The 26,687-nt window shown below is 34.9% G+C and overlaps 1 protein-coding gene across 6 annotated transcripts in view, besides 1 other annotated feature; it reads left to right on the forward strand.

The window, feature by feature from the left end:
* TSC22D2 (TSC22 domain family member 2) overlaps positions 1–26,687 on the forward strand; it is a 58,125-nt gene that overhangs the window by 12,336 nt on the left and 19,102 nt on the right. For 2 of the 6 annotated variants that reach the window (NR_130136.2, XR_007095779.1), the window contains exons 2-3: positions 2,416–2,487; positions 17,565–17,721. The exons of 1 other annotated variant lie outside the window; for it this stretch is intronic. Coding sequence is in view for 2 of the 5 variants with exons in the window: in XM_011513337.4 (XP_011511639.1) it covers positions 2,416–2,487; positions 2,589–2,634 (118 nt within the window). In the remaining 3 variants the exon portion in view is untranslated. Of the gene's footprint in view, positions 1–2,415; positions 2,488–2,588; positions 2,819–17,564; positions 17,722–26,687 lie in introns of those variants that run through there. 3 more of the 6 variants (XM_011513337.4, XR_007095780.1, NM_014779.4) reach the window with 3 other exon arrangements.
* Positions 21,588–21,757: an enhancer, noted in NCBI's record as "experimental_65259 CRE fragment used in MPRA reporter constructs". NCBI's record gives its function as "activates a minimal promoter by MPRAs in K562 erythroleukemia cells, with activity observed for both the introgressed and non-introgressed 3:150160093 variant alleles {active_cell/tissue: K562}" and the evidence as "EXISTENCE:reporter gene assay evidence [ECO:0000049][PMID:34662402]".

A 26,687-nucleotide genomic window follows, 5' to 3' on the forward strand; every position in this document is an offset into this window, starting at 1 on the left:
CACCTTTACATTTGACTTAAGAGATATTGCACTATTCTGTAAAACTGCTGGAATTTTATAACAAGTCATATGACTTCATTTGGAACCAATTTACCTGGAATATGAATTTGATTCAAATTAAATATTTGTATTTCCAAAGTCAGAGGATCTAAAGGTCTTTTAAAGATGCCAGGTGTGGTGGCTCATGCCTGTAATCCCAGCACTTTGGGAGGCCGAGGCGGGCAGATCACCTGAGGTCAGGAGTTTGAGGCCAGCCTGGCCAACGTGGTGAAACCCCATCTCTACTAAAAATACCAAAAATTAGCTGCGCGTGGTGGTGGGAGCCTGTAATCCCCGCTACTCGGGAGGCTGAGGCGGGAGGATCATTTGAACCCAGGAGGCAGAGGTTGCAGTGAGCCGCGATTGTGCCATTGCACTCCAGCCTGAGCGACAAGAGTGAAACTCTGTCTCCAAAAAATAAATAAATAATAAAGTTCTTTTAAAGAATATCATCCTTATAAATATATTGTGAGTACTCTTTAATGAATTTTGAATTGTAGACTTGCAGAATAACTTCCAAGATACTCTTTCTTATTCTTTTGTATATACTACCTTCCTCTTTGAGTCACTCCATTTAAACTGGAGGTCTCCAAACAGACCTTTGAGGATAGCAAACTAGTTCCCATATGTTCCTGGGCAAGCCTGTTTTTTTATAAAACAAAAACAACAACCAAAAAAAAAACCAGATTGAATGTTCAATTGGTTCAGTTAGTTTTCATTTGATTTGGCAGACTGACTTCTAAGTACAGCGAAAAAAGTGGCCTGACAAATACATCTTAAGAGGATGTAAGCCGTTAAATAAACAGTAGGTAGAAGCCTCTTAAGCTTTTCTTGTTATTAGCAGGTCTAATCAGTGCCTTTGATTGCCTTAGACCTAGTTAGGAGAAAAGTGGAAAAAGGATTAAAAGAATAGAAAGGAGTTGAAGTAGGGCAAGCAATGAGAAATACACGTATTAGTCTCCTAATTAATCAAACAGTTACTTTGGTGATTCTCTGGCATCTTGGAAGTCTTTTTTTTTTATTGTACTAATAATTCTGCACAGACTTTAAGGCTCTTAATAGGACCCCAGAATTGCCATGTTGTATCTAAACCTCATTTTGTAGATTAAAATAATGCTATTGATGATTCACTGTATGCCAGGAACTTTACATTTAGTCTCAGTTCTTTAGCCTGCAAAGCTAGGTAGTAATGTAACCAGTTAACAGATAAAGAGACAGACTTTTAAAGAGGTCAAACTTTAACACTGCTATGTGTTTAGTGTAGTGGTTTAAGAGCATAAACTCTGGAACTAGATTGCCACCTACTAGCTCAGTGATGTAAGGCAAGTTACTTCTATCTGACCCAGTTTTCTCCTCTATGAGATGGGAGTAATAATGGTGCCTACCTCTTAGGGCTGTTGTCAGAATTTAGTTAATGAGTGTAAAGCACTTAGAATAGTGTGTGGTACCTAATAAACACATTCTTAACTGCTGCTGTTCTGCTACAGCATGGGCTAAGAATTTTAAAAGTTATGTGGCAAAGTTTTTTTGGCTTCCAGATGTACAGGTTGAAGGTGGGGGAGACTATGGAAGTTGCTGAGGAGGAGGGAACAGGTTTGTCAAAAGTTTAAATCCCCGTGGAACCAGTCCCTAGATTTGAGGTGAATCATACTTACTGGGAGATAGTCCAGAAGAGCCCATCAGTTAAGAGTCTATGGTGAAAGCCCTAGGGAATGGTAGAAATGAAAGATAATTATGATAAATAGGCTTTTACCCCTAAAGTAACATTGTACCAATGCTAGAATCAGAAAGCTGCCAAACAATTGCAGCGCCATTTTTTGCCCTAGACGAGGAAAAAACACATATAAATAAATGGATTTTGAAGGTGGAAATGTGTCAAGTCCAACCCAGGAAAGAATTCTTCATTGTTAATCAAACCTTTGCTACTTTTAACAGAGCCTAAGAAAAGTTTTTATATTGTGAAGATATAGCTTAACTTAGTTTATATGAATACCTAAGAACAGCCTTGTTAAACTGCTAAACAAGATAGATATTTGTAAAGGCATTTGATATAGAAGAGTGTTGATTAGGCTATGAATTTGTCACATTTATATGCACGCACACAAAATTGGATGCTACTTAGTATTTAGTTTCATCTGCCTTACCTCTTTATTTTATAACTGTGATCCTGAATTATTGTTGAAGTCTGCTGGATTTTGTCCAGTTTTTAATTTCTTCTAAAGTGTTGTTTTAAGCAAACTTATGTGGTTTTAAAATCTTTTTATTATTAAAAGTTACACTGTATTAGAAATCTAAAATCTTCCATCTTCTTTTGAAAAGTAGTGATTATACTGTACGTTCTCAACCTCATTTCCATTTGATTCTCGGATCTCACAGGAATCCTTCAACTGCTTTCTACCAAGCGTTCCATTTGAACACGTTAAAGGAATCAAAGAGCCTCTGGGATAGGTATGAATACTTACATATGGAATGCATACATGCAAAACTGTATGCATGAATTGCTTTGCACTGTACTGGTTTCTCATTAAAACTGATCTTTGTTATTTTAGGGGGGAAATCACATGGTATCTAGCATGGGACAAAGCAGCAAAATAAACCAAAAGGACAATCTCTATTTTATATAGAAAATAAACATACTTTTCTGCATCCTGTGTACTTTAAGTATATCTATATTTTTGAAGGGTTCATACTGTGTTGAATTTTTCTTATGAAATAGTCACTTCCCCAGTGTATTTTAATGCAAATGCATATTCTATAAAATAAACTATATTTTAATTTTTGTGCTATTTTATGTTTTTTTTCTGTAAAAGCCATAGTGATTCAAAGCAAAATGTTATTTCAAATTATGAAATTGGAGGAGGAACAAGACCAAGGTATCAAAGTAATCATTGTTTAATTTTTGGCAAGAAACTTTAACTTCAAGTTTGTTTGCTAGAATTCACTAGGTCTGCATTACTGATTTGTAAGCCCCTAAAACAGTTTGCTTTCTTACAGAAATGTTGTATAGATTTTACTGTTAACTTTTAAAAATACAGAATGAAGTCTTGGAGTTCTTTTATGGCAAAAGATACTTTGGTTTATCTTTCTGCTTAACACACATTTTAAGTAGTGTATGCTCTGTTCAATCGTTTTGCTGAATATTTATTAGCATTCCATCACTTTGTGTTTAATTAATAGAAGTTGAGTTCAAACAATGTTTTTAAAATTCACACAAAGCTCGTTAGATTCTTTTAACTCTGCCTGGCAACGCATTTGTGTCTTCTGGCATAGTTTTGGATAACACTCATGAACTCAACTCCATCTCTTTCATTAGAAAAGAGTATTGCTAAGTGCATGTACATGTCATATTAAGACATGATACACATTGCCTAGAAATGCTAAAACAGTCTTAATTCTTCGGCTTGATTTGCTTGTGTGTGTCACTCTAGGGAAATTTTCTAACAGTATCTTTTTGATGGTGTGTTCCAGAAATCTTTTTAAATAGTTACTTTTAGAACAGGAAGTTTTAAAATTTGTAGTACCATGTTTATAAAATAAATTTTTAAATAGTTCTGTAGCCATTTAAATTAATACATAAATGTAAATTGTGAGATGAGATAAACATGAAGGTTTAATCTTTCAAATAGTTTTCCAAATGTAGCCAGAATGTGAGTACTTTGGGGTATGCTTTATAGTTTCTCTTAGAAAAAGGAAAAATAGCACTCTGTTTAGAAATGTAATAAGAGTAGCTTTCAAAAGTATGATGATTTATTTCAAATAGCTAACTTTGAGCTGTCATGATGTTGATGTGAATGATATATATTATTTTTATCAGTGTAGGAAGGTTTGAGCTATATTTTTGATAATTTGAATATGATATTGAAAGGTTTATTTTGTTTCATAATAAAACCACCATAGAAGTTGCCTGTACATCATTTGTTGTTACAGCTAAATACTCCTTATATGTTTTCTTTTTTTAGATACCTGAAACTTTTAAGGTATCAGAAATGAGGCAAGTTGCGTATCTATGGTTTCTCATGGGTTGAAAATATTTATTTTCTCTCCTCCTTGGAGCCTGTTGTTCAGAGCCAAAGAAGTTAGTGGATATTTGTCTGTAGTGTGTTAATGCCAAAATATAATAAAATCAAAATATAATCAGATCAGCCATTCTTCACTGTAAGTTGGCCTCGTTGGTACTAAGGTGACAAGGCCAACCCAATGGAAACTGACTAGTGGCTTTCTTTTAACTTTTCAACTAGCTTATTAAATTTTCCATTGAGAGGAGCAATCATGGCTAACTTTATTAGTTTTAATAGTCTACACTTTCAGTTGGCAACTATCTACAGAATTACTGATAGGTATATCAGCTAATAAAGTATCATGAGACCGTTTATTCCAAATGGGTTGAAGATTTGTGTGTGTTAAGCTTTAAAAAATATTAAATATAACTTCTGACCTTGATTGTTCTGGAAATCACCAAATCACATTGTTCATTTTTACTATTATAAATTTAGGATTTTTTTTTTATTTTACTACTAATTTGGCAAATAGGTATTTGGCAGGGGTGATTCTCCTATTAAAGAGAGACATAGACTGGGCGCAGTGGCTCCCGCCTGTAATCCCAGCACTTTGGGAGGCTGAGGCAAGTGGATCACCTGAGGTCAGAAGTTCGAGACCAGCCTGGTCAACATGGTGAAACCCCATCTCTACTAAAAATACAAAAATTAGCTGGGTATGGTGGCACATGCCAGCTACTCGGGAGGCCAAGGCAGGAGAATTGCTTAAACCTGGGAAGCGGAGGTTGCAGTGAGCTGAGATTGCGCTATTGCACTCCAACCTGGGTGACAAGAGCGAAACTCCATCTCAAAAAGAAAAAGATATTTGGAAGTTTAAGGGACTGCAAGTCCCTAACGTTATCTTCTACATTATCTATTTATTTTGAGGCATAAATTTGTCTCGCTATTACTAGATAACAGATTTTAGGCTCCTATTTATGAAATGTTGGAAATCATTTTCAGTAGGGGCAGCTTTTAAGTGCCCATTTTCAGTAGACCTACCCTAAATAGCTGAATATCCCTAGTTTGATTTTGTCTAACTAGAAAGACAAGAATCTCCTTTTTTCCTCAGGAATCTTTCAGTTTAGCAGAATATCTTTTAATCAAAATGTAAGTAACTAATATACCTTTCTCATATTGACTTAAAGTTCTCTAATGGCCCCTTTGTTTCCTTCCATATTTAAATTAGAATTGGCAAATTAATAGACTTTTCACCAAGCAGCCTGCCTCTGCCTATATTTAGATATTTCTCCTTCCATTTATATCCAGTGCTTTACTCAGTTATTGTACTAAAATTGAAGCTACCCTCAAGTCTTCCTTTCCCTTTTTCTGTAGGTGCCATCATGGTTTCTGTCTTCTCTGTTTGCCATTTGCAGAGCCCTCAGGGAATCAATCAGCTGAACCATCTTCAAATGTAGGGACAGTAGATACTGATAACGCAAAAATAATCCAACCCTTTCTGCAGTAGCCCAAACTGTTTTGAGTTGACTCTTTATTAAAATAAATACTATAACTTACATAGTTAGCTTTCTGGGAGATTATCTTACTATGGAGGAGTTAATTTTTCCTGAGATCCTAAGCCTACTGGCATTTGAGAATAGTAACTTTAAAATTTGACTTCCTATTTTCTAAAGAACAGTTTTCCAAAGTTAATACTTGGCATTGCTTTGTTAAATTGGCAGAATTAGTTTAGAAACCTATCCTGATGATCACTGGGGAGCGGCAAGCAGGTTCTCATTGGGAGTCCTTTGTTTACAAAAGCTCAGCGTAAGGGTTTATAGCAAACAATTTTACCCTCTTCTAAATACCAGGTCACTAAAGTAAAGGAGTACTAAGGGGAAGAAACTTCAGCTAGACTAAAGGAAGAAATCAGGTAGCTTGTAAGGCTTTAACCTCATCGATAAGCACTTGCAGGGCTTTTGTCTTCATTAAGAAATGCATAAATGTACTTAAAACAAGTGAGAGAACAGTTGCTAGGTGTACATCCCCTTGAGTCTGCTTGTCTGTCCTTATGATAGCACCAGTATTTAGAGAGAAGTTAATAAGGAAAGTAGTAGACATGGGTTATTAACTTAAAATGAAAGTCTAGTAAGTTTATCCTAAATTTTTTTACTAGATAATTGATGATCTCTCAAATTGTTTTCTACAGTGATTATTCACTTATTACCTCTAATTTTAAAATTATTGGATAAAAAAAGTCTTCTTATTTAAATAGCCTCAAGTATTTTGTGTAGGGAACGCCTTCCAGTATTTCCTATCATTGTTTCCTATGAGATTTTTTTTTGAAGCTAGGAATAAATTAGAACTAAGCTGTTTATGTCATAAATACCATTGGTACCATATGAGACAATTTATTTTGTTTTGCTCATCTCTAAGAATCTTGGGTCCATCATTAACATCCACCAGTACTTGTTATCCCAAATGGTAAAACTCAAGTTATGCAACTTAGCTGATCTAGTTTTTGAATGCTTGGTGATAGGACTTGTAAAATTTTTTTATTGAAGTATAATTTGTATCGGAAAAGTGCACCATTCATAAATGTATAGCTCAAATTGAACACACCTGTGTGGGCAGCACCCAGATCAATACATAGAATATTATAAGCCCCTTTCATGTCCTCTTCATGCCCCCCATCAGTCACTTCCCCTCCCAATCCTAATTTCTAATGTGTTATATATGTAGGACCATACACTATGTGTTTTGTGTCTGACCTCTTTCATCCAGTATTGTATTTGAGATTCATCTGTATGGTTCTGCATAGTTGTAGATGTGGACTATATAATTTTAAAGAATCACTCAAGTAGCTTATTTGTTGGAGATTGGTATTGGTTAAATGTTCTCTCCTAGTGATTATGCATAAGTATCTTGAGGATATGTACCTGAACCATTTTGTGACCAACCCCAATATATTCCTTACTAATTTGTACCTAGTACTTACATAATTTATTATCTGATTATATTTCAACCTGTTCCACTAAAAGACATCTAGTAGAGGATAGTACAAGAAGCTAAAAATTATAGCATAGCTTTTTAATGATTGTCACCTTTTATTCTTCCTCCCTCCCTCCCTCTTTCCTTACTTCATTTCCTCCTTCCTTTCTTCTTCTCTTCCTCTCCTTCCTTCCTTTTATTTTACTTTTTAATCTGAAATATTTTAGATTTAAAGTTGCAAAAATAGTGCTGAGGCTTCTTGTATGTCCTTTACCTAGCCTCCCTTAATGTTAACATGTTGTACAACCTTAGTACAATTATCAAAGTTAGGAAGTTAACATTGATAGAATACTATTAACTAAACTACAGATCTTATTTTAATTTTACCAAGTTTTCCACTTTTGTAAGTGTCCTTTTTCTGTTCCAGGATCCAATTCAGGATTCCACATTGTGTTTAGTCATTGTGTCTTCCATTTTAATTTGTAACATAGCACTGTTCCTTTATTGAACATAGGGAGTAGCAAGTCTGGTCTTATTGGTGTGGAGAGTCAGTTAACTAAGATTGCCTACAAATTTCCACCTTTTCTGCAGTGCTTACTACAGTTGCTATTCTCACAGGACTCTTTCGTATCACATATATAAATGTTTTCATCAGTAGTTTAGTTTGTAGTTCTTAAGTGGGGGATGGGGCAGGCCCAGGGTAGGAGGGGCAGGTAATCACTGGTACTTAGAGGATGAAAGCTTTATATATTCCCTCTAAAACTCATTTTTGGATCCCTGATTTAGATGGAAACCTCAGGGCGTGGTTATGTTCAGATGACATTAAATCAAGGAAGTGATAGCCATTGTGAATGACAGCATTTATAAATTTAACTGAAACAAATACAGAAATCAAGAAATTGGAAGAATTTATATGTAAATTCAGGGAGGTTGAAACCTAGGTTGACTGGGTATAGTAAAAAAAAAAAAAAACATACTTAGATATGTGTGTTAATGGCATTTTGTAGTATTGGTTAGCAAGTGACAGTGCTGCCACAAAAACTAATGTGATTTTAGGTGATGTTGAAATGATGGTGACTAATCTGTTGTACTCCATTTCTACAGAACAGTTGTTCTAAATACAAAACTAACTAGAAAACCAAATTTCTTTATACTCTATTTGCATATCCAGGGGTATTTCAACAGGCAGGCCTGAGCGAGCTTACTGAAAAGTAAACAGATCCCTTGGGAAATGGTCTTGCCATCACTAGAAATAATACAACTATCTTCCTGTCTGTTAACCAGGGATGCTGATTTTAAGTGAAATTTAATTTTAGTTACATTTAAAATGCCTACTCTGGAGTTTTATTTCCCCAACTTTTCTAAATGGAAGTACAAGCATTGGAATTGAACTCCTTTACTTCTGTTTCGTCATTATTGGCTGTGATTATCAGTAAACCTTAAAGAGCTGTGTATTTGCTTAAGGAATGGAAGGGTAGTAAACTATTCTGCTTTTTTAGGGAAGAATTCCATGTCAGAGGCAGTAAATGTTGATCTGAATAGAGAAACCAATGGAGCTTCCCTCAGAAGAAAATGAGTGACAGTAAGCTTATTTGGAAATGAGAATTGCCATAGGAGTGGTGGTAAATGAAGCCCCACAAATAACTAGGCACCAGTTATCACCATGCTGATGATTTCAGCAGCATCTTAAAAACTAGTGAATTCTTCCTACCCAGGTGCCAAGGGGAGGTAGAGTAACTCATGGAGAAAAATAACTACACATTACAGACTGACTGGCAGAATTTAAGGTTAACTTCATTTAGAAATCATGGACTATATATATAAATGGGCATCAGTCTAGGTCATAGTCATAGGACTGTAGGGAAAACCAGGTCTCCAAGTTTTTAAAAGCCACATGCTTGGTTATGAAATTGATGCTCTCAAAATATAATTCAAATTCTTGTTGATCTGGAAATAAGAATAGTGTGTGGGAAAGAAAGAAATTGTATGTAGAGTGTAGTGAAGGTAGGTCATTGGGATTTTAATGGAAGATGAAAGAAGCCACTTAAAACTGTTTGAAACTCATGCCTATGGTGTTCTGTAAAGCTACTTGGGAAGTTCAGTAAAGTATTAGATGCCTGGTCATATTATAAAGTAGTCTCTTTAACAATACGTGTTTGTCCCCAATTATAGTTACTTGCTATTTAAGGCATTTTCCTGTTACCATCTTCAGTGGTCTTAGATCACCTTTTCCAACCAAAAGATTCTAAAGCCTTAAAAATCTCACTTTTTTAGAGTAACTCAGAATGAAGCTGAGGGAAAATACCAGGAACGTTTGCAATTACCTGACTCAGCAAAAGTTTGTTCTCCTATAATTAAATACTAGAAGAAACAATAAGATTTAGTAACTGCTTTCAGTGAGCTTGGTCTTAATATGGAAAATGGTAAATACATTATCACATGATTGAAAGTAATAACTCATATAAAATGTAAGCACTTCATATCTCTCAAGTACAGCTGGAGGGATTGGTCAAAGCTTCTTCAGGAGGTGGCTTTTGAGTTGGAAACTGAAAGGTGGGTAGAATTTGGTCAAGCAGAATTAAAGAACTGAGGGGAAGGGAACATTCCAGTTAGAGGAAATATTGTGCACCACTATGGAAGTACTGGCCTTATATGATAAGGATAAAGTTAAATTTGGTAGGTGTATAACATTTGAAGACAGGAGAGGAGAGCAGTTAGATTAGAGACAGAGATTCTAGAAAGGTACTGAAGCCTGAATTAGGCAATGGGGATGAGATAGGAATTACAGGATTTTACAACTGATTGGTCATGATAGGGGAGCAGTCAAACTTGACTCCAAAGTGCCAAACCTAATTGACTGAGGGAATGCTGGTACTGTTAGAAAGTATTAGTGAAAGAATTAGTTTGGGAAGGAGAAAGTAGTGATGAGGTTTTTGTTTTTAGCTGTTTTTTGGATGAGTTGATAAGCTGGTACAAAGTCAAGGTGAAAATATTTGGGGTGCAGCTGAGGCTGCAGACTTGCAGGTTGGTATAGAAATTAAAGCTAGTTGAGATTTAAGAATGTTTTATTAGAGTTCAAGCTTTAGGAAAGGCCAAGATTGCCAAGGATTAGAGTAGGGTAAAGGGTCAAGCCAGGACCTTAGGCAATACCACCTGCATTTAGATAACAGAAGGAAGTCTGAAGAGGATGATTGGTTTTAGAGATTAGACCATTCTGAGGATATTATTTTCTAATCAAAAAGAAGAGAAAGGTCTGAATCTTTAATTTGAAATAATTTCAAATTTACAGAAAAATTACAAGAATAGTACAAAGAACTCAATCTTCTTACCAAGATTCAGTGTTTGTTAACATTTTGTCATATTTGCTTTATCATCCTAACATATTATTTTAGGAACCACTAACAAGGTGAAACCCCATCTCTACTAAAAATACAAAAATTAGCCAGGCGTGGTGGCAGGCACCTATAGTCCCAGCTACTCGGGAGGCTGAGGCAAGAGAATAGCGTGAACTCAGGAGGCAGAGCTTGCAGTGAGCCGAGATCGCGCCACTGCACTCCAGCCTGGGTGACAGAGTGAGGCTCTGTCTCAAAAAAAAAAAAAAAAAAAAAAAAAAAGAGTAGATAGGAAATACCATATCCATTTAACTTCAGATACTTCAGCTTATGTTTCCTAAGAAGATTATTCTCTTACCAACAATATAATTACCAAATTCAGGGTATCTTATATTAATGTGCTATTATCAAATATGAATATACAGTGCATATTCAGATTTTGTCAGTTATTACAATAATGTCCTTCATAACCATTTTTTAACCTGTTCGAAGAGCCAGTATAGGTTCACCAATTATACTTAATTAAACAGTTGTCTTTTTCCCTTCCTGTCTTGTTTGAATATGTAAGTACTTGTGTTAGTCACCTAAAGGATTATTTAAAATTTAAATATTTAATAAAAAATGCAGTATTAATGTTTTTGGATAAAATACTAGGAAAAAAATGTACTTGCTTAGCTAGTTTGTACTATTGGGAGTATTCGAAAGGCAAGGGAGTACTGCCTAAAATCCAGCTGAAACGACTACTAGAGTTGGTGAAGTTTTATAAGGGGAGGTCTTTTATTGCTCAGAGTTGGGTGGTGGGTGGCAAGAGTAGGAGAACATTTGGATATTAATGTGTCCCTTAGAAATTGAAGTATATTCATGTACTTCCCTTTCTGTACTGTGATTTTTATATGTATGTATTAAATTGGGCTTTTAATTATTTTGAGTTGGAAAAAATAGTGTAATTTGAAGACATTTTACATCACCACTTGGGTTTGCAAATTATGTATTGCTATCCTGTATATACTGTTGTATCCTCTTAGTTTTATTCTGGTAGTTGTGTTAGGTGGCTTGTCTGCTGCGAGATTTTTAACCACAAATCTAAATCTCATTATTCGAAGTGGTGTTTCACTGGACCCTAAACATCTCTTCTCTTAGCTTTTCTATGGCTAGCTGAAGTGGGACACTAAACATTCTGACATCTGTTTTCGACACATTACCAGGTTTCAGAATTGGCAAAGAGAAATTATTTCTTAACTGCTCACCCACCATTATATATGCTTTCCACCCATATGTTTACCACCTTCCTCTTTAGTAAATTTAATATGTTATTTAATAAATTTCTAAACCTAAGTCACCCCAGCCTATTTTGAGATGTTTTGATAATTATTTTCAGGTGAAATTTTAGAAACAGTTTTGAAAAAGGTGGGAATAGCTGGTAAGGTCTCTTTATTATTTATTTATTTATTCATTTATTCAATTCTTTTTTTTTCTTTTCACCAAATAGATTTTAGGTAAACCAAGGCTTTGAATAGAACAGAAAAGTGTATGTATGTTTGTACATGTGAACTAATTCGCCAAATTCGATGTATTTTTTTCTACCGAATCTAAAATTCTATTGAAGAGCTTTTTTTAAAAAAAAAAAATAATAAATAACTGAACTTGTTCAGACAAGAAAGAAATTTAAGGAACCTGGAATTGTTGAACCAGGATAAACATAGAACATCTTTTAGGGTTTCGTCATTGTTGTTGGTTTTCCATTCTAGTCCTCAGCAATTTAAAATTTTAAATTCACACCTCTTCAGTTGTATTTAAATCCGCAGTTGGGCAACCTTTTGGGAAGAAAGAAATATTAATGGAATTATTTTAGTTTTTTATTTTTATTAAGATTTGGGGTGGTAGGTAGAGGTAGAAGAAAGAGATGACTGACTCTATTCTAGCCTGACATTCTTTTTGTTTGTGTGCATAAACATGCTGATAGTAATATTCCAAGTTACTCAAATCAGGGAATATATTAAATTTTTGTGATTGATACAGAGCTTTTAAATGCCTTAGCTTACCAAAAATTAGCTCCTGTGTTTAAACTTTAGTTGGCTACTTCTAAAGTATTTTTCATATTTGACAGAAATAAATTTAAATAAGTGATAATAATTTAGAATGTTTATCCATTAGTAAATATCCTCAAGAAATAACATTTTTATGCCAGTTTATCTCCCAGTTGTTTCAAAGTTTGAAGATTGTTGGTTATAAATACTAAAAGATTTGGAAGGTGCTATTGTATTTTTCACTTTTTAATTGTGTGATATTTGGCCCAAAAATAGTGGTGTCTTCACTAAGTTAAAGTATGTATGCAGACAGCATGGCTGTCAGTGTCCCCAGCTGTTTATGTGGCCACATATTGAGAATTTTATTTGTAATTTCAGTATCAATGCTAATGGTGGTATCCATAGTAGCTACGTATTTTCTACCAATAGCAAGATGTTCAGAATATATGTAACCTTTGTCGTAGAAGACAGAAACATCTTTCTGCATATCTGCCTGGTGATAAAGAAGGTATATTTTCCCTAGTCCTACACAGTATCGGAAGGGGAACAAGGAGGGAAAAGAGTTGCAGTGTCTGGCTGATAACACTCCTGTTTACAGTGATGCTAACCGTTGGTCTTCAGAAAATTTCTGCGTTTATTTGCAGTAGCTGTTTTTATTTTGGATAGTACTTAGTCCAGAAAATGTTGCTAAATGTATTTTTCTAGAGTAGTCATAACTACTTTTGTTTCAAGAAATAAGAGGTATCAACTCTTCAAAAAGCATAATATATTATGGTTTCTTTACAAGTTCTGTTTCTCCTGAGCACAGTGGCTCATGCCTGTAATCCCAGCACTTTGGAAGGCCAAGGTGGACAGATTGCTTGAGCTCAGGAGTTTGAGTCCAGCCTGGGCAACATGGCAAAACCTCATCTCTACAAAAAACACAAAAATTAGCCGGGTGTGATGGTGCATGCCTGTAATCCCAGCTACTTGGGAGGCTGAGGCACAAGAATTGCTTGAACCCACGAGGTAGAGGTTGCAGGGAGCCGAGATTGCACCACTGCGCTCCAGGGCCACAGAGCGAGACTCTGTCTCAAATAAATGTATAAATAAATGTTCCATTTCTTTTATGTTAGCTATTATTAAGCTCAGAGTCAAAAAATAGGAGGGTTTTTTGTTTTTTTTTTTTTTGGGACAGAGTCTTGCTCTGTCACCCAGGCTGGAATGCAGTGGCACAATGTTGGCTCACTGCAACCTCTGCCTTCTAGGTTTAAGTGATTCTCTTGCCTCCCGAGTAGCTGGGATTACAGGCACCACCACCACGCCCTGCTAATTTTTGTATTTTTCATAAAGACAGGGTTTCAGCACGCTGGCCAGGCTGGTCTCAAACTCCTGGCTTCAAGTGATCCACCCTGCCCTGACCTCTCAAAGTTCTGGGATTACACATGTGAGCCACTGTGTCCAACCCAAATATTCAGCTTTCTGTTAACAAAGCATGCAGTTCCTTATTATACATATATTTGAGTATTATGTAACTGGCTTCCACTTCCTTTGATTTTCCGTTTTTAGAGGGAGCTCTACCTTTAATTTCAATATCTTTTTCCTTTGCCTTCTTTCTAAGCTGTTTCTACTCCTTTGAAAGGATCAAGTGTATAAATCATTTGAGAGTAAACATGTTAAAAATACCAATAGCCTGTCTTCTTAGAGCTGTTTTTCAAAGGTGTATTAATGAAATTCTTTAAGCTGTGTATTTGGTGTTTCTTCTACCAATAGGTGCATTTGCTATAATGCATAACATACCAAACACTTTATATATGTGTATATACATGTACTTATGCTTATATATGTATGTGTATATATGTACATATGCTTATATATGTATACATATATATATTTAGTTTCTGGCATAGCTAATTGTGTCTTAAATTATATCTTGGCTCAACCACAGATATATGAAGTTTCTTGTCATTGTGTGTTATGTGTCTTTTTATATGTGTCTTTTTATTTATTTATTTATTTTGAGATGGAGTCTTGCTCTGTCACCCAAGCTGGAGTGCAATAGCACGATCTCGGCTCACTGCAACCTCTGCCTCCCGGGTTCAAGCAATTCTCCTACCTCAGCCTCCCGAGTAGCTGGGATTACGGGCGCCCACCACCATGCCTGCCTAATTTTTGTATTTTTTAGTAGAGATGGGGTTTCTCCATGTTGGTCAGGCTGTTCTTGAACTCCTGACCTCAGGTGATCCACCACCTCTGTGGGATCCCAAAGTGCTGTGATTACAGGCGTGAGCCACTGCATCCGGCCTTTTTATATGTTAATTTTTTGGAACATACTGTCTTCCTAGCAGTTTTATTTTATTTAGGTACATTTGTACTAATTTTTAAAGTAAATTTATCTTTGATATTTTAAAGCTTATTTTTTCAATATATATAACCTATGGAATGACTCTGTGTAATTTATTGGAGGACATAAAGGGTTGCCCTGTTTCCCCCCTTTCTCCATTTAAAACTAAGTATTTCTGACCAAGCATTGGTTTATCATGGCTAGGATTTCTCCAAACAATGTAGTGAACTTTTTTGAACAGCAGGTTGAAAATCTGGCTATATTAGTGGGTAGTCTTATAGAATTTTCAGAATCTTTTAAGGAAATGTGGTTTAAACCTGAAAACAAAATTTTCTATCAAACTAAGATAAGCACATTCATTAAAAAACCAAGTTCCTTTAGGAACTCTTTTAGACCTGTTTGATTTAGCATATCCATTTTCAAGTAATTACTTGGAAATTATAAATCATCTACCTTCTTCCCCTTTCACTGTTTTTTTATTTTAATATAGTTTCACCTTCTCACAAAAGGAAATGATAAATAACTGTAGGGAATATTTGGGATTTGGTTTTGGTAGCAGTCTTGCCAGAGATTCAAGATTATGATTGATAATATTAGTACAGTTTTCTCATTAAATATTCATTTTTAGGAAGAATTCTAATTTTAAATTTTGAAGGGTATCTGGTTAATCTGAACGCTGTTCATCTGTAACTACTTTAGTTACCCAATTTCATTTCAGGTTGTTAATAAGGATGTCCTACATGTTGGAATTTAATGACTTAAACTCTTGAAATATGACCCTGTACTTGGTAACAACTAATTTTGAAAATATATGCTTAGGAAAATTTTGATATATAACTTTTGTATCTTTTAAAACGTATACAGCTCTAAAGTCCTGATTTAACCATATATTTGTGTAATGTATACACCCTTAAAATTTTTTTTTGTAAGTTTCGTAGTAAAATAACTGCTTCATATGACTGGTTTAATTGTATCTTCCAAAAAGACTTTCCAAGCATTTACCGTAACAAGGCTTTTTTTGTTGGCAGGCCCTTTAACAAAGGGTCAAGCAGTCGGCCCTTTAACAAAAGGTCAAGCAGTCGGCCCTTTAAATGACCTTAAATTAAAGCCTTGCAGACAAGCAGATTTACCAGCATTATAGATAAGTATTTCAGGAAGTATTTACTTTACTAAATATGACTGTATATTTGTCCTATAAAAAGTAAATCTTCAAAAGATTTTAAAAATTACAGTATTTTGGTTGATAGGAGATAAGAATGTTATTAAAACTTTCTTAAAACATTTGGTAATACATTAATGAAATGACCACAACTTTAAACGACCACTTATCCTCATAAATATGGATTTTTGCCTTCACCAGGTGATTACATTATAAAGCTGTGCTTTCACAGAAGACAAAATAAAGTTGTATGATTTATATTGAAGTCAAATGTGTTGTGAGATTACATTTGGAAAGATTATATTGGAAAAATTCTAATAGTTTTTCAGACTACGTGAGAGACTTAAGTGACCATGTGTAATAGAAAAGTTCCACTGAAAGTTAAAATCTGTAACAGCATGACCCAGCCTGTACATTTGGGTCAAGTATCTTTTGAGATAGCTGCAGAGTTTCCTTTACAATGCTGTCTTTCAGTTTTCTATAGCTTTATGCGTATTGATCATCCTCAGTAAGGGCCCTTTTCTTTCCCCCATCCCTTCCACCCCTTTATAGTGTTTTATTTAGGGGATTAATTTAGGCAAAACTATGCCCACAAATCTATGGGTTTCCTTTCCTATGGGTTACTGGCAACTAAAAATATAAATGTACATTCTTATCAGACAGAAAATGTTATTAATGATATTATTCAGTGATTAACATAGATGCCCAATTGAAAGCTTTCTGGTAAAATTTAATAAATTTAACAGGATATTTTTAATGAAGTGATTTTTGCCATTATTAAATCTTCCTACCTCCAGTTTTCTTCCGTGCCCATATACAGGTGAGCAATAGGGACCACTGCTGCATAGGATACATTGTTATTCGGTTACATAAAGCACATAATAAAATTTAATTCTTGCCATTATGTTGTCTATTTTCAAAATTGGGGGTAGTAGAGACAGATGAAGATTTAGATATAGAAATGGAATTCTGTCTTAAGCACTTAAATGATCGGTATGGATTGTTACTGATCCAGCCACCCATGCTATAAGTCTAGAAACTCAGCCAGGCATGGTGGCTCATGCCTGTAATCCCAGCATTTTGGGAGGCCGAGGTAGGCAGATCACGAGGTCAGAGATCGAGACCATCCTGGCTAACACAGTGAAACCCCGTCTCTACTAAAAATACAAAAAAAAAAAAATTAGCCAGGCGTGGTGGCACGTGCCTGTAATCCCACCTACTCGGGAGGCTGAGGCAGGAGAATTGCTTGAACCCAGGAGGTGGAGGTTGTAGTGAGCTGAGATCGCACCACTGCACTCCAGCCTGGGCGGCAGAGCGGGACTCCGTCTCAAAATAAATAAATAAATAAATAAAATAAAATAAAATAAGAAACTCATATACATGGATGTGGACCAAACAATATAACTCAAATGCCTTTCTACAGGACTACAAAGCTGTCTGTATCAGGTTATGGTGTTAAATCATAATTTCTGGATCATGATCTTAAACCTTTAATTGGTTCCATTTCTACTTTACTCTTTACTAACAAGTATCCTGATGGCCTGAAAATCCATGTTGAAATTTGAAGTTTGAATTTTCCAGATCAAATATGAAATTTATTTTCATTTTTTAAAGTACAAAATATCAGTTGTATAATCATGGTAAAACATAAAATTTTGCTATAAAAGATTTTTAAAGGCTATTTGATTAAAACATTTATTTACTTAAACTCTTTGCTAGAATTTTTTTTAGAATTCAGCATCGGAGGAGGAATGTGACATAATAATGATCGAAAGCCGAAAGTTTAAAAGTTGTGATGCCCTCACATGGTTGGAGGGTTATTCTAGCTTCTAAGGACTGAATGTTGTCCACAAGAGTGTCATCAGGTCATAAATTGGTAAGACTTAATGGCTTAGATTTTATGTATTATACCTGATGTTATTGTATTGAGATGAATATTTATGAACAAAATGAGCACATTGTGTAAGAGTATAGTATTAAATATAAGTTAAAACTTGGAATTTTAAATACTTGGAGTATGTAAGCCTTTCGAAGTCTCTTGAGGCTGAAGGCCGTATCTTTGCAGTGGTGTTTAGTAAATACATCAGTTTAAAAAAAGAAAGTGAAATCCTGTATTATAGTAAGATTATTAAAATATTGCTATTGCATCTGCTGTAGATGCCTACAATATAGTGAAGAACCCAAATACTTTTTAGGTGTTATACCAGGAGATATTTGAGAAATAATATATTCATCTTTTCTTTAAAAAAAATCCATTTTCTTAATAACATACAGCTTAATTTTATTGCTTTGGAGATTTTATTTCTTAATAAAAGACATGTTTCCTCTAAATGTCTAAAATAAAGCCAAGAAAATTTTTTCAATTCTTACATTGAGAATACCTAAGATGCCAATATCATATGAAAATGATATATTAGAAGTCATTGCACATTTTTTATATTCCCCGAAAATTAATTTTCTCTCAGTATTCTGCTTAGAAAAAAACTACTTTGTTTTGTGCAGTTTCTTATTTTGCTTTGTTTTACACAGCTGTATTTTGTAGGGGGACCATTGGAAGGATAGAGTTTAGCTCAGGATAAGACCTTATATCTTTTAATCTCAAGATTATAGTATTTTGCAGATGAAGAAAAGGAGTCTGGATTATTTGTCCAAGGTGATATAATTGTAGAATTCATATTTTCATTAAAGTGTGGTATGCATATCCTGCATGTCAGTCAAGAATTATTTGAAATTATTTATTTTCCAAAAAAGCCAGAAGGCATGGGTTGATATCAGCTAAACAGGCCACTATATATATTCCAACTTTATCCTTAACCAGAGATATGTTATTTTATCCTTTGCCCATTCTGCCTTTTGAATAATATTCTAAATTGTTTCTGATATAGTATTCCATGACTTCATTACATTCTGTAAGCTTAAGTCCCTTAAGCCAGTAATTGCAATCAATAGTAGTCTGGAAGGAAATACAACAAACTAATTAAGTTATCTCTTATTCCGTATACTTTTCTATTTTCTTTATTTTCTATAATCTACATAACTTTGATAATCAGGAAAATAACTTCTAATTTCTCTAGTATAGGATATCCATATGTAGTAGTCAGTGGCTGGGGTTCAGGAGATCACGAACCATGTGAGATTTTGGGTAGAATTTTTTTATGTTCACTTTTCTGTGAAAGGTTCAGAGCATTTGTCAGATTTTTTTTTCAGAGCATTTGTCAGATTTTCATCTGTCAAAAACAGTTAAGAAACATTGCTAGTGAATGTTTTGTGTCAAAAGGACAATCCTTGTTAGACACCTAAGTATGAGTCGTGAAAGAAATTTCTAATGAGAACATTGGTCATATGACTTCTACTGATGTTTATTCAATGCTGGGTTACTATAAATGCCCATTAGACTGATGGGACAAATCAGAGCCAAGCCACATTTAGTTTAGGAATTTCGTACTGTCAGTCTCTGTGCTCAAAGGTCAATTGGATTTTTCTGCAGAGTAGTCGTGTTTTGGCTATTGAGTGTCAGGCACTGTGCTGAATATTTTTGGCACATTATCTCATTTAATTTTCACAAAGTCATATATTAATAGATATTATCAATATCCTCAGTTTACAGAGAAGAAAATTGAAAGCTTAGGGAAGTTAAGTAACTTGCTCAAGTCGCATAGCCATTGAGTGGTGGAGCTAGAATTCAAATCTTATTACTGACTGGAACCTGGGTATCAGTATGCTGGTATCCTCTGAAAATTTGAAGGATAAGATAAAGGAGAATTTTACATTGTATGAAGATGTGAATTCATAAATTTGATTTATCTTGAACTTAAGTAGCAATGGGTCATCCTCCATTACAAAACTATCTTTTATTATTTGCCAAAAAATAAATGTTGGAGGTTGCTTACTATCTAAAAGTTAAGTATTAATTGCATTAAAAAATAAATTCTTTTTCAGGTTTAATACTTATGAATATAAGCAAATATATGTGTATTTTTTTTTTTAGAAAAGTCTTAGTACTTATTAGAATAGTATTATTAAGGAACTCACCCTTTAATATTTAGGATTTATAAACAGCAAACACTAGGAAGCATTAATTTAAAAAGCAGCTTTGAACTGCAGATATTTCTTGGGATAGTGGGATATATTGCATGTAAAACCCTTATTAAATGCTATGTGAGAGTTTTCCATTTGCCTTTAGTTGCGAATAATTCTGAGAAACCTCCTTTTTTGCCCACTTTTAAAGCATTTATCAGGCAAAATTAATTTTTTGGGATACATGAAGTTTTTTGGTTTTGTTTTCCTTTGTACTTTGTCATATCCTTTTTGTTGGTTTAATTTTACTCTCCAATGAGCTCCACATCTTATAACCTTTTCCCTGTTTTTAAGTATTAATAATAAAAGGTTGAATCTGCAATAATAGTACTGCTTAAAACCATAAGAATTTGTTTGCTCCTGAGTGATGTTGAAATAGTCTGCAGAGCTAGTATAAACTGTTTCTTTAGCACCACGATTAAAAATGCACAAACAACGTGATAGGTCATCAGAATATGAGAATTCTATCTAAAAGTCTTTTTATATATATATTAAAAAATATATATATAATACATATAAACATATAAAATACATTTGTACCCCAACTTCTGTAGTAGTAGTATGTTTGCCTTTTCAAAATTCAAACTGGGAAGTTTGGAAAATAGAATAAGAATAATCATACTTAATCCAAGTTTTTAACACAATTACCATCTTAGTGTTTGCATATTCCCAGACTTGGAATACATATATATTAATAGTTGCAATCATGGTAGATAAGTAGATTTTCAATAGTTTTTAAACTGTGTAGTTAAAACTAAAGCTAATACTGATATGTGATACGTTTTTAATTTTGAACTGATATTTGATATTTTGACATCTGTGATAGCATTCCCTCCTGTTTTTCCTTCTACCTTGCTGGTTGTTGCTTCTCAGACCATTTGGCAGGCTTTCCCTTCTGTCTGCTCTTTTAAATATTATTGGAGGCCGGGCATGGTGGCTCATGTCTATAATCCCAGCACTTTAGGAGGCTGAGGTGGGCAGATGACTTGAGCCCAGGAGTTCAAGACCAGCCTGGACAACATAGGGAGACCCCGTCTCTACATAAATAATTTGCTGGGTGTGGTGGTGCACACCTGTGGTCTCAGCTACTTGGGAGGCTGAGGTGGAAGGATTGCTTGGGCCTGAGAGGTCAAGGGTGCAGTGAGCCATGATCGCACCACTCCACTCCAGCCTGGGCAACAGAGTGAGACTCAGTCTCAATCAATCAATCAGTCAATAAATAGAGTCATCAGAATGCTGTCTTCTTACATTCTTCATCGTGGTAAGAGCTTATAGATGGCTTCCATGCACATATCATCTTTATGCTATAGGAAGTCACCTGTATGCTCTAAGGTGCTCAAACCCATTACTTCCAGCCTAGGCATCTCTCCTTACATTCAAACTTACCTGATCTCTCATAGCTGGTTAATCACAAAGTACTGCCATATCTGCCTCCTCAGTGTTTTGCCAGCCTATCCATCTCTTGTCCTCATTCAGTGTACTATCCTTTCTTATGTGAAAATGCAACAACCTTCTGACTAGTCCTTGTCGTTTAAGTTTTCTAATGTGGCCAACTGCACCTACTGTTCTTTTTACTTGGAACATTTTTTTGTACCTATCTTTTTTTTCTCCACCCAACTGTGGCATTTCCTCTACTAATTCTTTCCTGATCCAAGAGCTATGTGCCCCCAGAACACCCTCTAAAATCTTGCTCTGTCTTAGCACTTATCACACTTAACATCTTATATATCTCCTGCACTAATTGTAAACTCACAAACTCTGGAATTATGTTTATTTGACGTTGTATCCCCAGGGTCTGAGAAATGTTTAAGTTCATTACAACCCCTTTGGAATGTGGCATCACAAAATTTGGTGTCTGAAAATAATGTTAGAGATTATTGTATACAATTAGAGACAAGACTCAAATGTAGGAACCACATTACCTAACTCCTAAGTCAGTGTTTCTTGTGTATTTCATGACATTTAGATTTTGACCACTATAAATTATTACGGCAAGTTATTAGGTAACATAGTAAGTGTTTACCATATGCCAGATACTAATGCATTATCTCACTGAATCTCAGTACCCGGTCCTATTATTGTCCTTTGGGGAGGCTAAATATTAGCTTGTCTAAAGTCATATCTCGGTTTTGGTGCAGTGGCTCAAGCCTGTAATCCCAGCACTTTGAGAGTCCAAGGCAGGAGGATTGCTTCAGGCCAGGAGTTTAGGAGCAGCTTGAGTAACCCTGTCTCTACCTGCAAAAAAGAAAAATTAGCTAGACATGATGGCACATGCCTGTAATCCCACTGAGGCAGAAGGATCACTTGAGCCCAGGAGTTTAAGGCAGCAGAGAGCTATGATGGCGCCATTGCATTCCAACCTGGAAGACAGCAAGACTATGTGTTATAAAATAAGGTGAGAGATGGGATTCAAACCTGGGTATAACTCCAGAACCAATGCCCTTTTATTTAATATCACATCTCAGAATTTATCTTCTGAGTTTTGAATTATAAAACTGAGTTAGAAGGGAATTTAATGGTCATTTATTCTAACCACCTATCCTATACTTGGATCATGTCTACAGTGTTCCTTTCAAGTTGTCATCCAGCCTCTGAATACCTCCAGTGATGTCTTACTTTTGCATCCTGGTCTCTTTTTGTATTTATAAACCTCTCATAAACCCTTTCTGTAAAATAGGGAATCTTAAAATGTGAAGCAGAAAAATCAGATGATTGCCATCACTTGAAGCATATATAAGCAGCACTAAAAAGTCTGTGGAGACATTGAACTGGGTACATCCTCTAGATATTTCTGTATTTTCATAGCTGCTATAATCAAGAATGTGGTTTCCAGTTCATGGCCGTAAGTCACTGGTTTTAGTACATAGTCATAAAGTTCTTTTTCAAAAATGGATAAGGAGACATTGCTTAATAACTTAGAGATCACAAGGACGTTTCTCTACTTATTGATTCTAGTGATGATACAAGGACTTCATGGGAAACCTTTATATGTGACCTGATCCTCAATGTAAAAAGAGTGAAATAAATGTGAATGACTTCAGACTCCTGGATCTAGTTTACATATAACTTGCACTTATTCATGAGTCATGCTTAAAGGCATGGTAGTTTGAATTGTCTTTTTTATCTGACCAAAAGCATTTAGGATTTTTAATTCACCCTTTAGACTTAATTTTGATTCAGTAGAGAGTGAGATTAGTCAGCTGAGAGAACACATAGATACTTATGAGGCATGATTATACAATCAAGCTTTTCACCAGATTTACAAATGGTTTCTCCTTAAATCCATGATTCTAATGTAAAAAAGTCTCTGTCAAGGTTTTTATCTTAAGATCATTAAGTTTTTAACATCCACTTTATTATCCATGAAGTCTTCTATGATTTAGTCATCACCATGATCAGTATATGGAGTTACCAAGTTTCACTGGCCATGGCAGCAGTAACCTGGAAATTCATAGAGCCTAGCCCTTTTCTGTTACTCAAACTTGAACCCGTTTTTCTATTTACATCAGTTGCCTATATTACATAGAAACTGGCGCACTTTCCTTCTTTCTCAGTAGGTAACAACCAGATGCAAGGAACATCAAAAACCTACCTTTATTGGGGAGAAAAAAATTCTCGAGGTCTGCCCATATTTTACTGTGTTCCAGCGATACCCTTAATTAGTTTCTAATAGTTTAAATAGTTGGTTAATTTCTTAGATCTTTGTCCTGGCATGATGAGCTCAATATAACATCTGTTTATACCAAACTTATAAAATATAATTAGATAATATATTGTAAGTTGTATTCTGTCTTTTTCTTCAAGTAATATGTTTACTATCAATTATATGCAGAGTAGTGTTGTAATAAGTAGACCCTGGAGATGGACAGTTTCTGCTTTTAAGGTTTAATTCAAGAGAAAGGAACATTTGATAAAGACAAAAAAATTATGGACGAATCAGAGAAGTGGAGCCTGTTGGCAAGAAAGGAAGAAGGCTAAGGAAAATGTAGGTGGAGCATTCCATCTCAAGTGACAGTCTTATCTCTGGAATCTAAATCGATTTAACAAATTTCAGGTCATGATGTAAGTGTAGAATTCATCATAAAAGATTTCACACAAACTATTGTAAAATTCTGTCATTCACCATGTCTAAATTATTAGAATTATTACCTAAAAGAATTCAAGGACATGAATCTAGACTGAAATGATAAAAACTTAGATGTTAAACTTTTTGTCTCTGAAAATGTGCCTACTTGAGTGCAGTTTTGCTTGAGTGAAAAAAACCTAATGACCCTTTAGATTTTATAGTAGTGCTATTTTTTACTTTATGTCAGAATCCCTTTGAATAAGGTAATTCTAAAGCAGTGATTCTCAGCTAGGGTAATAATTTGTTTAAAAGCAAACAACACGTTATACCACTTTTCTTATTTGCTTTTAGTAATATTTATTGTTGAATTTTCATATAACACTACTAAAGGAAGACCTGGGATATTTTTAAATACTCTTTTTGGAAATTTTTATTTGAATTAAATTAGTTATATTTCAGTGGGCTTTGGAAAAATTTCCCACAGTAAGTTAAGATTATTTTACTCTAAATAATGAAACATCGAGATCCCAAAGAAGATCCGTAAGAATGTTATTAATGTCCAGTCCACGGGAATCCTGTGTTTAATATGCCTTGTACAGGAGAATCGCTTGAACCCAGGAGGCGGAGGTTGCACTGAGCAGAGATCGCGCCATTGCACTCCAGCCTGGGTGACAAGAGCAAGACTCTGTCTCAAAAATAATAATAATAATAATAATAATAATAATAATAATAATAATAAGCCTTGTAAATGTAAATCTCAAGTCAAACAATTTTTATTAACATATACTTTGTGGCTGCATTAAATCTTTAACATTTAATTGAATACAAAAAATCAATTAAGGAATAACTAGGATTTTATTTTGGGTGAAACATAAATATAAAACCTGTTTCTTAATACTAATCATAATTGATTTTTATTCATGTTTCACTGCCTTGGGAGATTAACTCTTATTTAATTTTCCCAAGATACACTGGGAAAGTAGACCTTATAAAGTGTCAAAGTCCAAATTGATCCAAATGATAAAAGGAACTAATTGGGTTGTTGTGTGTACTGTTGTAAACAGTCTCACATAATCCTTATAGCCGTCCTTTAAGATATGTACAACTGTATCCCATTTTATAGTTGAGGAAACTAGTTTCAGTATGTTAACTTGCTAGGATCACCCCACTAGTAAGTGGTTGGAGTTTGGATTAAAAGTCAGCTAGCCTCACGCCTGTAATTCCAGCACTTTGGGAGGCCGAGACAGGTGGATGACAAGGTCAGGAGTTCGAGACCAGCCTGGCCAACACAGTGAAACCCCATTTCTACTAAAAATACAAAAAGTAGCTGGGCATGGTGGTGCACACCTGTAGTCCCAGCTACTCGGGAGGCTGAGGCAGGAGAATCGCTTGAACCTGGGAGGTGGAGGTTGTGGTGAGCTGAGATTGTGCCACTGCACTCCAGCCTGGGCAACAGATCGAGACTCCATCTCAAAAAAAAAAAAAAAAAAAAATCAGCTAGTCTAATTCTAAAGTCTATGCTTTTAAGCCATTTTATTATTCTGTGTGAATTCAACTTTTTGCTTAGACAACTGCTGAGTGAGAAACTGTCTTACCCCTCAGAATGTCTGACCCCAGAATGAAGTGGAGAAGAAAAAATACTTTAGACAAGAGATAATAAACTGAAACGTAGACAACTTTAATTCTTCAGGGCCTGTATTTAGAGTGTTGCCTTTATATTTGTTGAAAGTGAAAAATGTAATCCTTGGCTGGGTACGGTGGCACACGCCTATAATCCCAACATTTTGGGAGGCCAAGGCAGGAGGATCACTTGAGCCCAGGAGTTTGAAACCAGCATGGGCAACAGAGTGAGATCTGTCTTTACAAACAAGTCAAAACATTTTTAAAAAGAAAGATGTAATTCTTTGCTCAAACCCAAGCCACTATAATTTTAAAAAACATTCCAAATGGAAAACATTCATTGATTTATTAAAAATAAAGACTAGGCTTTCCCCCCACCCCCAATATGATATATTCTGTTCATTTCATTAAGGAATGATGGCCATGCTTGTGCTCTCCCTTTAGTCTAAATCAGAATCAAGCAACTGTCTCTTTAAAAACCCCATGATATTCTTCTGAGTTTAGCCCTATTTTGAAACGGTCCCTTGACAACCTTTATTTATTACTGTACTTGGACTTTAGGAGACAGATTAGGAAGGAGACTTGGTAGCAAAGAAAAATTAGTTAATAACTTTGGAGCAAATTCTAGTCACGAAATCCCAGTGACTAGCCTAATATAATTTTACTTTGTCAAATATATTGTTCATAGAATTATGCTTTTTCTAGAAAGCTATTTTAACTAACATTTCTGCACTTTCAAGAAATAGGCATAAAGAAAAGAAATAGGCAAAATGAAAAGATGAGCAAAAATTATGTGCTTTTCACTGGTATTTGGCTTTTGGTATATACATATACCAAAGGGGATAGTCTCATTTTTACTTTAGTCAGGCCTCACTGTAGAAATGGGATTGAGAAGATATTTAAACAAGGCGTCTAAACAAGAATGACTTTAATAAAAAGAAATAATATGTTGAATGCTTGAGAAAGAGGAGGCAAATGTGAGGCCATTAGATGAAAAGAATAAGTAGCATTCCTAAGAATAGTTTCTTCCCAAGCCCATCTTTTTCCATGACTCTTTACATGTTAGTGTTCTCCAGTGT

The sequence above is a fragment of the Homo sapiens genome, chromosome 3, assembly GCF_000001405.40.
Source record: "Homo sapiens chromosome 3, GRCh38.p14 Primary Assembly".
Classification (NCBI taxonomy): domain Eukaryota; kingdom Metazoa; phylum Chordata; class Mammalia; order Primates; family Hominidae; genus Homo; species Homo sapiens.